The 14,309-nt window shown below is 41.1% G+C and overlaps 1 protein-coding gene across 1 annotated transcript in view, besides 2 other annotated features; it reads left to right on the top strand.

The window, feature by feature from the left end:
- Positions 1-14,309, top strand: part of LSG1 (large 60S subunit nuclear export GTPase 1) — a 31,401-nt gene that overhangs the window by 9,982 nt on the left and 7,110 nt on the right. The window contains exons 6-11 of the mRNA NM_018385.3: positions 2,077-2,137; positions 3,077-3,253; positions 9,068-9,481; positions 10,994-11,095; positions 11,186-11,329; positions 13,406-13,529. Coding sequence (NP_060855.2) covers positions 2,077-2,137; positions 3,077-3,253; positions 9,068-9,481; positions 10,994-11,095; positions 11,186-11,329; positions 13,406-13,529 — 1,022 coding nt within the window. The remainder of the gene's footprint in view (positions 1-2,076; positions 2,138-3,076; positions 3,254-9,067; positions 9,482-10,993; positions 11,096-11,185; positions 11,330-13,405; positions 13,530-14,309) is intronic.
- Positions 624-824: a silencer, noted in NCBI's record as "peak4980 fragment used in MPRA reporter construct". NCBI's record gives its function as "represses an SCP1 promoter by STARR-seq MPRAs in K562 erythroleukemia cells {active_cell/tissue: K562}" and the evidence as "EXISTENCE:reporter gene assay evidence [ECO:0000049][PMID:32103011]".
- Positions 7,458-7,507: an enhancer, noted in NCBI's record as "active region_21031". NCBI's record gives its function as "activates an Ori minimal core promoter by ATAC-STARR-seq in GM12878 lymphoblastoid cells {active_cell/tissue: GM12878}" and the evidence as "EXISTENCE:reporter gene assay evidence [ECO:0000049][PMID:35858748]".

Below are 14,309 nucleotides of genomic sequence, written 5' to 3'. Positions count from 1 at the left end.
TGAATGGAACAGGGTAGCCGACCTATGAGCTCACTGTTCAGATGGATTACGGGCGCGGGCCTCGTTCTTGCCCTGGAGAGATAGAGCTGATGTTTCTAATACTGGGCTTTCTTGGGCGTCAGGGGCATGAACAGGTTTGCTTCTTGTTGGTTTGACATTTGGTTGCTGCTGTTCTTTCTCTTTATCCTAATGGGTTTCAGCCTTTGTTTTTGTAGGTTTTGAGAGGGAGCAGAGGTAACCATCTGTGTTCAGTTTAACAGGAAGCCCCTCTTACACTGTTTATGTCCCTAATAATTTCCCAAGTGAGCCTGTACATGTTGAAACTTCTAGCTTCAGCTTGGATTACAGTATTATTTGCTCTCTTATTTTTGTTATGTGATATTTCTCCTTTTTTTAAATAAGAGAACATGTTTTCTAGCTCAAGGAATATAGTTATATGAAAGTGGATCTGAATTACACAGAAATATTTATTTAAAAATGACTGCCGCCACATCTTTGAATGGGAAATATTTATTGATGTCTTCTCCACAGCAGATGTCTCCTGTTTGGTAACAGGCTGGCTAAACCATCTGCCTCTTTAATTCTAATAGTAGTTATCAGAAAAGATTAGATGTATAACATGTCCTTGAAATGCAGGAAACCGCAGAGGCACTGAGGGCGGAACACTGTCTTCCAGTCAGATAAGGCACTTCCATTGTGCTGTGTAGACCCCTCCTGCTACATGGCTGGTGCTTTGCTCTGCATCCTCACTCAGCACATGAAGCAGCTGTCTTGAAATGTCTTTTCTTACTGCTATTTCTAAACTGATGGTTCTTCCTACATGTTCTGTATGTAAACATAATGTTTGTAGACATTGTAGTTTTAGTTGATTAGGCTTTGTCCATTTTTTTGTAATCATTTTTTCATTCACTATTAAATATCCAGTTTGAAAGTGCATTATTACCTTAAAGAAGGAAATACTAGAAGCAGCTGAACTAGAGAACTTAAAAAACAATTTGTCCAAAATTAGCAACTCTGTGAGTTTGTGTCAGAGGATTATGCTGACATTTTAACTATCCTAAAAGAAAATGCACTTTTAATTGTCAAAAGAATGTCCTAAATGGTAACCTTAATTCCTTGGAATTTAGCATATTTGCAAAGTTGCCTCAGAAAAGGCTGGTTAACAGAATAAGGATTTTGGGGAGACTCTGCCGTGAGGTAGTCATGCATCTGTAGCTTATGTCCTCCCAGCGGCAGTCACGGTGGGCCTTTATAACATCTAGCACAGAGGCTGAAGGAAGGGAGGAGCCTCCCATAGAAGGGAATTTTTTTTTCTCCTTGCAGTGCTGGACACCTGTAGTCCCCACTATATTTGTGAGGGATTTGAGGGGCTTGCCACCAGCTGCAGAAAGTTATCTTATTGCTGTACTTTCTTATACGTGATGGAAGAAGTTGGACTTGCCATTCCTGCTTCAGCCGGGCAACCTAAGTTAATACTTTCCTGTTTTCTCTTTTTGCCATTTAAACACATTGTTGGAATTGGTGGATGATTGTTTGCCAAAAATATGCTTTCTTCCTTCTTATTCCTGGGTTTAAATAAGATACTAGCTTCAATAGTGGCAGCTGTCAGCAAGTGATTTACTAGTTTTCTTTTGAGGCCTTAACATGAGGGCAGATTAGGGATTGAATATTTAGTAGACTTTGCCGTGGAGTGAAGTGTTTGGAATACTCTTTTATCTCACCAGGACAGTTTAATAGAAGTACGGTGGATGTCTTAGCAATGAAACATCATCCGAACCCCTCTAGGCTGTATGAGAGCAATAGCATGTTATGATTAAGAGCATCACCTCTGGTCCAGGCTGCCTGGGCTCCCATTCTGGCTGTGTTACTTACTAGCTGGTGGCCTTGGGCAAGTTACTTAACTGCTCTGAGCCTTAAGTCACTCATATATAAACCGGGAATAATTATACCTTAAAAAGTTAATATATGTCCAGTGCTTAATATATTGCCAGGGTTTGCTACTCTGGCCATTATTATGTGGTTAGTAAAATCCCTTTCACTTCACGGTGATTGGTCTATCTCGTGTTTGTTTTTCAGTGATATTGTGGTCCAGATAGTAGATGCTCGAAACCCACTCCTGTTTAGATGTGAGGATTTGGTAAGTCAAGTTTGACAAAATTCAAACATCAGTCCTTTGAGTAGCAGTGCCAGCACCGCATCCCTCAGCAATGACTGTAGGCATACATTCTGCCCTCTCTGGCTTCGTTTAGTGAGGCCTTCCCTCCTTCCAAGGCCAGGAGCTTGCAGAACGCCACTGTTGAGACAGATGTTTTCTCAAACAATGGTGTCCATCTGCAGGAAGGCACAGACACTTAAATGAGCTTTCTAGCTTTTAGTTTAGAAGCCACTTAAGGCATTTGCCGGTTTCCCATTTGTCAGGGAACACCAGTTGAAATAGCATTTTATTTATTTTAGCATATTGCCGGTCACTTCACTTTTTAATTCATCCCATAAGGTTCTGTCTTCTCACACTTTAGTTATGACTCCCTGTGGTATTTTACAAGTGAACTAAGTTTATGAAACACCACAGGGGCTGATAACTAACATGTGAGAGTCCCATGAAATAATGTAATACAGCTTTGGGTTAGTTAACAAAACATTGTATAATATGTGAGGTATTCATATTTCTTTTTGAGAACTGTAATACATATTATTTATTTATTTATTACTATCTTATAGATCTAATTTTTTGTAGAGACAGGATCTTGTCATGTTGCCCAGGCTGGTCTCGAACTCCTGGGCTCAAGCAATCCTCCCTCCTCCGCCTCCCAAAGTGCTGGAATTACAGGCGTGAGCCCCCATGCCTGGCCCAGATTATTTTTAAACCCACTGGTGCATAACAAAAATATTAATGGTGGAACTTCTTTTCAAAGCTTACTGAAAGGATTAGTATAATGTGTCATGATTAAAAATGTTTAAATTAGGAAATGATTTAAAACTAGGGGCAGTAAAAACTTGTATTGGGATCTTTAATATAATTAGCCTCATTTTTTTACTTGTTTGAAGAGGTCTTTCTAAATCTCTTTGTCTTGCTTAGGAATGTTATGTGAAAGAAATGGATGCCAATAAGGAGAACGTCATTCTGATCAACAAGGCAGACTTGCTGACTGCTGAGCAGCGGAGTGCCTGGGCCATGTACTTCGAAAAAGAAGATGTGAAGGTTATTTTCTGGTCAGCTTTGGCCGGAGCCATTCCCCTGAATGGTGACTCTGAGGTAACCTGAGGGACATTTTAGGTTGGCTTTCAAAGAGGGAATTTTGATTTCTTGTTAATGTGCTTCGTTTGTGTTTTGTTTATTCTTATGGAAAATCTGTGGGAATTAGAGTTTTTCCTCTGTGTGCTGGATTAGGATGACCTATAGAAAGTGAATCACAAAGTTACTTTCTCTGTGGTTGTTGGACAGTCTGACCTCTCCAGTGTTGTTACACACTGATATTAGCTGTATTTTTAAATTTTTTTAAAAGGTTGTAGACAGGAAATTGTATAGGAAGTTCCACAATGACCCTGTAACTGCTTTTAAGAGAAGTCAGAACACAAGAGTACAACTGAAGGATGTAGTCAGTTCTCAGGACTTGATTAGAATCTCTTTTGACTTTGTTTTGAAAACAGAGAAACTAAGTAACCCTAAATTAGGATATACCACATATTTTATCTTTTAGCCCAAATTTTGCAAAAGTAGTTTGGGCTTTATTTTTACTTTTGAATAAAATAATATCTATAAGAGGGCCAGGTGCCGTGGCTCACTCCTGTAATCCCAGCACTTTGGGAAGCCGAGAGGGGCAGATCACCTGAGGTCGGGAGTTCGAGACCAGCCCTACCAACATGGAGAAACCCCATCTCTACTGAAAATACAACATTAGCCGGGCATGGTGGCGGGTGCCTGTAATCCCAGCTACTCGGGAGGCTGAGGCAGGAGAATCGGCTGAACCTGGGAGGCGGAGGTTGTAGTGAACCGAGATCATGCCAGTGCACTCCAGCCTGGGCAACAAGAGCGAAACTCTGTCTCAAAATAATAATAATAACAACAGCTATGAAAAGAAATTAGTAATTAGAATCGTAGAGATGGAGAGACTTAGGAAGTACTGTCTTTTTCCCTGTCCTTTTCTCCCGTCTCTGTTTATCAGGCATCTGTTGACCGTGGAGTGTGTGTTGAGCTGGGTTATGAATACAACACCCTCCCCTCCATGAGCTCAGTATATAAGCTCTCACCTCTAACTATGTGAAGGAGTTTCTTCCTCCACTTCCCTGTCAAAGTTGCATATTTCTCTTTGACTATTTTAAGCGACAGGATGCTTGAGACCAGGTAACTCGTTTCTTTTTACCTCTAAATGTAGAAAGTTCTTCCATTCAGTGAAACGAAGTCAGCCACCCTACCCTTTGATCTGAGGACTCTTTGTCCCTTCGGTTCTCTCCTGCAGCTGTGCATTTTCAGCTTTCATATTCCTCATAGACACCAGCTCCGGGACACCCATCCTGGGTGCCTGTCTTCTTGCGTCAGGACCACAGGCAAAACTAGCCACACCTAATTGAATACGTTATTCCAGGTGGTATTTGCCTAGGGCGTATACACAGCATTCATATTTCTTGTGATCAGGATAGTCACATTAATTCAGTTTCTGTTAGTTCATCCCCTTTCAGAAGCTGTTTGCTCTTGGCTCATTAAACCTGTGAGCAACCGAATCCCTCAAATATCAAAAAAAAAAAAAAAAAAACTTACTAAGCAAACCTCATCCCATCTTTATATGGAAAGATATTTGTTCTGTTTTACCTCAACTTAGGAGAGTACTGTTCCTTTTAAATATGTTAATGGTTTAGTACCAAGGTAGAGTTCATTTTAGAGTGTGCAGTTAGCATTTCCTTGCCTTCTAACTGTGAATTTTTGTGTCATTGATAACATCGTTGAACAGGCTAGGTCCAAGGATACAGCTCTGTGATCTTTTGTGGACTTACTAGCAGCACTCTATGCCAAGCGTTTTTTTTTTTTTTTAAGGTTGCCTTTTTTTTCTTTTTAATTTTACTATTATTATACTTTAAGTTTTAGGGTACATGTGCACAATGTGCAGGTTTGTTACGTATATATACATGTGCCATGTTGGTGTGCTGCACCCATTAACTTGTCATTTAGCATTAGGTATATCTCCTAATGTTATCCCTCCCCTCTCCCCCGACCCCACAACAGTCCCCGGCGTGTGATGTTCCTGTTCCTGTATCCATGTGTTCTCATCGTTCAATTCCCACCTATGAGTGAGAATATGCGGTGTTTGGTTTTTTGTCCTTGCAATAGTTTGCTGAGAATGATGGTTTCCAGCTTCATCCACGTCCCTACAAAGGACATGAACTCATCATTTTTTATGGCTGCATAGTATTCCATGGTGTATATGTGCCACATTTTCTTAATCCAGTCTATCATTGTTGGACATTTGGGTTGTTTCCAAGTCTTTGCTATTGTGAATAGTGCTGCAATAAACATACGTGTGCATGTGTCTTTATAGCAGCATGATTTATAATCCTTTGGGTATATACCCAGTAATGGGATGGCTGGGTCAAATGGTATTTCTAGTTCTAGATCCCTGAGGAATTGCCACACTGACTTCCACAAGGGTTGAACTAGTTTACAGTCCCACCAACAGTGTAAAAGTTTTCCTATTTCTCCACATCCTCTCCAGCACCTGTTGTTTCCTGACTTTTTAATGATCGCCATTCTAACTGGTGTGAGATGGTATCTCATTGTGGTTTTGATTTGCATGTCTCTGATGGCCAGTGATGATGAGCATTTTTTCACATGTTTTTTGGCTGCATAAATGTCTTCTTTTGAGAAGTGTCTGTTCATATCCTTCACCCGCTTTTTGATGGGGTTGTTTTTTTCTTGTAAATTTGTTGGAGTTCTTTGTAGATTCTGGATATTAGCCCTTTGTCAGATGAGTAGGTTGCAAAAATTTTCTCCCATTCTGTAGGTTGCCTGTTCACTCTGATGGTGGTTTCTTTTGCTGTGCAGAAGCTCTTTAGTTTAATTAGATCCCATTTGTCAATTTTGGCTTTTGTTGCCATTGCTTTTGGTGTTTTAGACATGAAGTCCTTGCCCATGCCTGTGTCCTGAATGGTATTGCCTAGGTTTTCTTCTAGGGTTTTTATGGTTTTAGGTCTAACATGTAAGTCTTTAATCCATCGTGAATTAATTTTTGTGTAAGGTGTAAGGGAGGGATCCAGTTTCAGCTTTCTACATATGGCTAGCCAGTTTTCCCAGCACCATATATTAAATAGGGAATCCTTTCCCCATTGCTTGTTTTTGTCAGGTTTGTCAAAGATCAGATAATTGTAGATGTGTGGCATTATTTCTGAGGGCTCTGTTCTGTTCCATTGGTCTATATCTCTGTTTTGGTACCAGTACCATGCTGTTTTGGTTACTGTAGCCTTGTAGTATAGTTTGAAGTCAGGTAGCGTGATGCCTCCAGCTTTGTTCTTTTGGCTTAGGATTGACTTATGCCAAGCGTTTTTATGTGAATATAGATATATTCACAAGAATATACCAATAATAATTATTACTATAATTAAAACTAACCCATAAAATTAATCAGTTAATAAAAACATATTCTTTACCAGACACCACTATTCTAAACACTTTACATATTTTACTCATTTAGTCTTCTCGGCAGTAAGTATAGATACTTACCATTCTTAGGCAGAAGAATAGTTTGCCCTGTTAAACCATTATTTCTATTGTTTCCAGTCTTTCCTGGAAGTCAATGTCTTGGTGAAGTTTTAAAATAGATACTTATCATTATATTGCTCTGCCCTGATGCAATAACCCTATCAAAAATGGAAGAGATTAGTTTCTGCATCTGTGGCCTTCTTGATTTACTAACCAAGATAACAAAGGGAAATGAAATTTTTTGCATGATCAGTTTTCAGGGAACTCACTGCCTCCTGTTGATGACTGTCTTATTTTTAGGGCTCACCAGGTCACCTGTAGAATTGTTTTAATGTCAGTGTCTGGATTAACAGTGTATAGTTTATGGAAGATATTCTTTCCTCCTTTTTAAGAGTGAGGCGCCATTTGCTTCTCCCAAGTTTTCTGGACTCTGCTGTTTTCCATGATTTCTCAGGTTGTGAAGTCTTACTTGTAACTTGATACTAATATCTGTAATTTGGGTATCAAACATGAATGTATTAGAAGTAGCCTGATATTCACTGTTTTCTTGCCTGGAAGTTTGGGTCATCTTCTATAGTTGTTCAACTTCAGTTGTTTGAAAAACGTGAATGTTCTGAAAAAATGTGACATTTTTCAAAAGACACAGGCCAATTCTGAGTTGAGTATCTCTGGTTTCCTTTGGTCACCTTGAAAGTGCACTGTGTTCCCCGAAAGCTTGACTTTTTCCTTCTTTCTTTTAATTTTTAACATAATTACGGCAAAGTCCTTTGATTGTCTTTAGTACTTTTCCTGAAGCTGAACTGCTCCCCGCTGTAGTTTTTCTACTACACATTCATGTTCAGTTCACATTCTTGTTTTTATGCTACTTTCATATTTGAAAATGACTCAAAAGAGCCCACAGTGACGACACTGACTTCTTTACCTTCGCTGCTCATTTACCATAGAAATTGCTTCCAGTTCTATATTTCTCTCATAAGCCAGGGTTCTTTTTGAGTTGCCAGGCTTGATTGTTAAATCATACCTATTTTTCCTGACATTTTGTTTTTATTTCTGCTTTCTTAAGATTTAGGATACATGTTTGAGTTCATCGTGTCCCCTTCTGTGACTGTTAATCATTCTAACAAAGCTACTTGGAAATGATACCAGGTTTCCATCACTTTCAAGTCCCGACAAATTCACCCTTATTTCTGCTTTGTTGTCAAGAGGGATTCAGAAGAATTAACACACCCTTGAGTAGAAAATGATTTGTACCTTTCACTTTCCAAAGGGAATCTTTCATCAGTAAATAATTTCCACATGTGGAGTTGAGTTTTGCTGCCACATTTCACACACAGGGATCTGTGTGTGCTCCATGGTGCTTTGACTTCTAAAAGCAATTATGAGAGAAGAGCAGATTTCTTTAAACATGCCAACCACCGTCTTTAAAAATACAAATGTAAAATGAACTGCAAATGGCAAAGTCTGCCCTTGCTTTGTGCAGAGAGGAGTATGTTAAATGTGTTGTTGTTCCTGAGAAATGCTTTGTTTTATCATGCAGCCCATTGCAAAATAACGTACTGTCAAGAGTTCAGTTTAACATAAGCTTTTCCCCTTGCTGTCTTTGAAGAGTTTTGTTGTTGTTGTTGTGGTGGTGGTTTTCTGTTTGTTTTTGTAGACACCCAGTCTTGCTGTGTTGCCCAGACTGGTTTTGAATTCCTGGCCTTGAGCGATCCTCCCACCTCCGCCACCCAAGCGCTGGGATTACAGGCGTGAGCCGTAGCACCCGGCCTAGAGTTATTTTAAATTACAAAAGTAATACATGTTCTTTGTACAGAGTTCAAATAGTACAGAAACATATAAAGTAAAAAGTGAAGGGAAGGTCCAATTCTCCCCTCCAGGAGGGCGCCACCCTCGATGGTTGTCTGTCACGGCACTGAACTGAAAGGCTTTCGTTGTCTCCTCCCTGTGTTCACCTTTCCATCTCCGTCGAACTTTGCTTGTCCCCTGTTCATCTTTTTTTTTTTTTTGTGAGACAGAGCCTTGTCTGTTGCCCAGACTGGAGTGCAGTGGCACCATCTCGGCTCACTGCACCCTCCGCCTCTCAGGTTCAAGCAGTTCTCCTGCTTCAGCCTCCCAAGTAGCTGGGATTACAGGTGTGCACCACCACGCCTGGCTAATTTTTGTATTTTTAGTAGAGGCGGGGTTTCACCATGTTGGTCAGCGTGGTCTCAAACTCCTGACCTCAAATGATCTGCGCACCTTGGCCTCCCAAAGTGCTGGGATTACAGGCTTGAGCCACCACGCCCAGCCATCCTCTGTCCATCTTACAACTCATTAAGTATTTTTACTAGAGTGGAAACTGCAGTTATATACTTCTGAGCGTTTCTATTATTTTGTCAGGAAGAGGCAAACAGAGATGATAGACAAAGCAACACAACCAAGTTTGGACATTCCAGTTTCGACCAGGCTGAAATTTCCCACAGTGAATCCGAACATCTCCCAGCTAGGGATTCTCCTTCACTTAGTGAAAATCCCACAACGGATGAAGATGACAGTGAGTATGAGGACTGTCCAGAGGAGGAGGAAGACGACTGGCAGACGTGCTCAGAAGAAGACGGTCCCAAGGAAGAGGACTGCAGCCAGGACTGGAAGGAAAGCTCTACTGCAGATTCTGAGGCTCGGAGCAGGAAAACCCCACAGAAGAGGCAGATACACAATTTTAGCCATCTGGTATCCAAGCAGGAGTTACTGGAGCTCTTTAAGGAGCTACACACTGGGAGAAAGGTGAAAGATGGGCAACTTACGGTCGGACTGGTAAGATGACATATGTCATAACATTGTTACCACGTGATTGTCTTTAATCCCCATTTTTCAGTAGCTGCACGACCCCAAAGACCAACCAGGCTTCCGGCATCGTAGGGAACATTGCCCTCTTGTTGCCCACTGGCATCACGGGATTAGGCAGTGGGATAGACAGAGCCCAACTCAAAGGAATCAACTTCCTCAAGGCCTGTGTTGGTAACATACCTATTCACATTGAATGTATTCTCCAGTCTCCTTTCAGTTCAGCTTTTCCTGCCGTGTGAAGTACCAAGACAGCAGAATGAGAGAGATGTTAATGTTGTCTTCAGACTTCAGCCCAGTGTTCTTTGGGCACCCTGTGATCCTTGCCAGCTTATGCTGTAAATGTTCCAGATGCTTAATAGGGAGAATCCCAGCATCTTGGGGCTGGACGAAATATGACAAATGCATTAGTTGCATAAACACTGCATAGTAGATAGGGGAAAGCAGATCCCATCCCCAGCCTTACATACCCTAATTCCAGAAGTGGCTGCGGAAGTGCGCAAACCCCGAGGGGCTACGACATGGCTCTAGATGGCCCCATCCTTAGCTAAGGAGATGTGAGATGTTAGAGAAGGTATTGATTATAAAGACCTATCCAGAATATAACAGTGAGGGAAAGGAGGTCATGGCATGTTTAAAGTCTCCCAGCTTTTCAGTTACATGCTAAGTGTAGCTAATCCTAGTTAGTTTTGAGCCCCCTTCTCTCTGCCCCAACCCCCTGCCCCAAAATGCCTGTTTAAAATGACTACAGTAGATTAGCATCTTATTTTAGTGCAGTAGTTAAAAGAGCTGTCTGTGGAATCAGACAGACCTAGGTGTAATTCCCAATTCAGCAGTAGAACTAACTTGTTAGGAACACGGGGAAAGTTGCTTAATGTCTCTGAGCTTTAAAGCTTCATTCTCTATATTGTTGCTAAAAATTTGTATCAGAAAGTTCAGCTTCTCTACAAGTTTTCTCACATTTATGGAAAAACTGAGCATCCTCCCTCATTTTCTGAATTTCTTACTCTAGAAATTCTGCAGACACTTATTGATCACCTGCCACATGCCAGACATTCCACTTGGCTTTAACTAAAACGTGACTGAAAATTAAAAATAATTGTGTGTTGTGATTATTCAAATGTCCATCCGATCAGCCTCACCCAGTGTGGAAGATGCGATGGAAACCACTGTCTGTAGATGGGGCAGTGAGGGAAGGCTGGGAACAAGGGGATGAAATTTTCTGTAGCATCTGCTGTTAACAGCAAAACATATAATATTAAAATGTGCATAACTTGGCCATTTGTCACTGGAGATGTGTCTGAATAAATATACCCACACCACAGGAGAAAAAAGATGTCTCAACAAACACAGCATGGATTTCAAATAATTTTCTAAAGTAACCAGATGCTTATGCTAGTCTTGCCACCATCTATGTCATATCTTTGAGTCTTTTGATAGATGTACTGTTTTACTGTTTGGTAACTTCTGAGTCTCTTCTAGGTGGGCTACCCTAATGTTGGTAAGAGTTCAACAATCAACACCATCATGGGCAACAAGAAAGTATCTGTGTCTGCCACACCTGGTCACACAAAGCACTTTCAGGTATTTCTGTGGTGCTTTGCCACTTGCATGCAGCTCTTTCTTCCTTTTATCTGTTGTATACCCAGCTCAAACCTCTTGCTTGTCTTCCAGACTCTCTATGTGGAGCCTGGCCTCTGCCTGTGTGACTGTCCTGGCTTGGTGATGCCATCTTTTGTGTCTACCAAGGCAGAAATGACTTGCAGCGGAATCCTCCCAATTGATCAGATGAGAGATCATGTTCCTCCTGTATCACTAATATCCTTTCTGCTTTGGAAACACTCTAGTTATTACGTGCATATTAGGGCTTCAGGTTTATTTTGGGCATTTGAGGGATTCAGATTTGATGAAGAATTGAAAATACTAGTGATCTGCACAAGTTTATACTGTGAGATAGCATGAGAACTTCAGAATAGAACCTCATTTCCTGATTTCAGCAGTGTAGCCTTGAAGAAATGGGAGAATCCAGGTTTCAGATACTCAGTTCCAAGTTGCAAACCTATTTAACAATGCCATGTAACCGTTTGAATGACCTTGGAAAACTTGCTTAACCTTCCCAAATACTTTCCTTTTCTCTAAGTGGGGGAAAATCTATCTCACGGTTGATTATATTTAATCAGTATAGCTAACATATATTGAATACTTGCTATGTGCTTTTCTAAACCCTTACCAAATACCTTTTAGTCCTCAAAAAGCAACGCTTAAGGCAGATACTGCTGTTATTCCCATTTCCTCAAACTTGAGGAAACTGAGGCACAGAGAAGTTAAATAATTTATCTAAGCTCTTATAGCTAGTAAGCAGTAAATTAGGAACTCTGCTACCTCTCAGCAGCATAATGAATTAACTTACATAAAGCATCTAGGACAGTGCCCAGCATGGAAAAAAGACTCAAAGATGGATTTGTTAAGAACTATGCAGGGGCCAGGTGTGGTGGTTCATGCCTGTAACCCCAACACTTTGGGAGGCTGTGGCAGGCGGATCACTTAAGGCCAGGTTTTGAGACCAGCCTGGCCAACATGGCGAAACCCTGTCTCTACTAAAAATACAAAAATTAGCTGGGCGTGGTGGTGCACACCTGTAGTCCCAGCTACTCGGGAGGCTGAGGCACGATAATCTCTTGAACCTGGGAGGCGGAGGTTGCAGTGAGCTGAGATGGTGCCACTGCCCTCCAGCCTGGGCCACAAAGCGAGACTCTTGCCTTTAAGAAAAAAGAAAATGAAAGAAAAAAAAAACTGCAAGGTCTGAGATTTTACTCTACTTATAAGCTAATAAGTTAGTCTATTATTGTTTTGTAGATACTAGCAGAAAATAGGAGACTTCATGAAATTGGCACACTAATCCGCTGGCTTGTAAGTAGAGTAAAATTCCCTTCATAACTACACTTAAGGCCACAGCTTATTCATAGATACATATATATGAAAAAGTGTATAGCTTTTTTTTTTGTTTTTGAGATGGAGTCTCGCTCTGTCACCCAGGCTGGAGTACAGTGGTGCAATCTCTGCTCACTGCAACCTCCACCTCCTGGGTTCAAGCAATTCTCCTGCCTCAGCCTCCCGAGTAGCTGGGATTAACAGGCATGTACCACCATGCCCAGTTAATTTTTTTTTTTTTTTTTTGGTAGAGATGGGGTTTCACCATGTTGGCCAGGCTGGTCTCAAACTCTTGACCTCAGATAATCTGCCTGCCTCGACCTCCCAAAATGCTGGGATTACAGGCGTGAGCCACCACGCCTGGCCTTTTAAGTTTCTCTGTAAATTAATAGTGAGACATGAATCATTTATTGCAGGTAGCCTTAGGTTAGGTGCTGTGGAGGATAGGGCATAAATAGAGATGGCTCCTGCCCTTTACGAAGCATCAGTCTGTTGGGGCACATGAGGCATGTACTTGAATAACTCTAGTACAAGGTAGAATATTGTTAGTGGCTTAAGGAAAATTTGGACAAACTATGGGAGATGAGACAAAGGAGGAAAAGTAATCCTGCCTAACTGTAGGCATTAGAAACAGAGACTCCCCTTGCTTTATCTCTAAATTAGAATCACAAATGCGTAATCTTTTCAGGGTAAAAATGTGTCATCTTTAAAGTCTGTTTCAGATATATTTTAAATTACTATTTTAAATGAATTCATATGGAAAAGTCGTGGGAGCTTAAGGCCTTGTTTAAAAGGGAAAAAACAACTGAGTCTTTTTAGATTAATCAAAAACTATCCTCTTCCTTTGGAGAGGAGAGAGTGTTTGTCACACGCGGAATGAAGTGCCATGTTCTTTGAGGCACGATTTGTATGCCATGGGGAGGAGGGAGTCCGTTCAAGAGAATGGATTCCCTGACAAGCTACGTTTGCCAGAATATTCCAAGACATGTTTTAGAAGCTACCTATGGCATTAACATCATAACGCCTAGAGAGGATGAAGATCCCCACCGACCTCCAACATCGGAAGAACTGTTGACAGCTTATGGATGTAAGTTGTGATTCATCAGAAAATGTGAACAAAAGTAACAGTATACCTAATGAATAGAAATAAGAATAGTAATAGTACTAGAATTGCTGTTCTGCAAAGATACACATTTATAATATTTCTTCAGCATTTTTCAAGCCATCTTTCGTCTCTGTGGGCCTTGCCTACAAAGTAACCTAAAGTGCAAAAAGCTTTTAGGACGTTTGCTGCTTTGATGGTACCCACGTGCAGCACAGGGGTTCTCATCGTAGGCTGTGTTGGCTCTTTCTGGAGTCGTCTCCCAAACAAGAAGAAAGCGGATGTGTGGAAGAAAATGAATCCGCACGCCACAGCGAGGCAGGAGAGTTAGGAGGGGAGCACCAGAAGGGAGACCCCTCAGAGACGGGGACAGAGTGGAGCTTGGTTAGGATAGGGGCACAAAGCATCCTCCTTCCTCTCCCATCAGCCCCTGTAAACTTATTTGACATTAAGATGAGTCCACAGCTCTCCCACCTCTGTGTTTTATCCCAATTCCACGTGGGAACCTATGATTTCTTGCCTTAAATGTAAACTTTAAAGGTGGCCTGGAGAACCTTGTGTCTACCTAAAAAAAAAAAAAAAAAAAAAAATAGCAGTGTGGGAAACATTTCCGTGCGTGGGTGACTTGCCTTTACAGGGATTGCTGCTGGTTGGGAAGGAGTTCAGCTTATTTGAGTATTTACTGGCAGAGAAAGGTGAAAGGTGATTTGATATGAATCACACTTAAACCTTGAACTTAGAGACTCTAAAGAGGATAAATACTAA

The sequence above is a fragment of the Homo sapiens genome, chromosome 3 (assembly GCF_000001405.40).
Source record: "Homo sapiens chromosome 3, GRCh38.p14 Primary Assembly".
In the NCBI taxonomy this organism is placed as follows: Eukaryota; Metazoa; Chordata; class Mammalia; order Primates; family Hominidae; genus Homo; species Homo sapiens.
The sequence above is the reverse complement of the archived record's forward strand: the minus strand, read 5'-3'. Positions and strand labels throughout refer to the sequence as shown.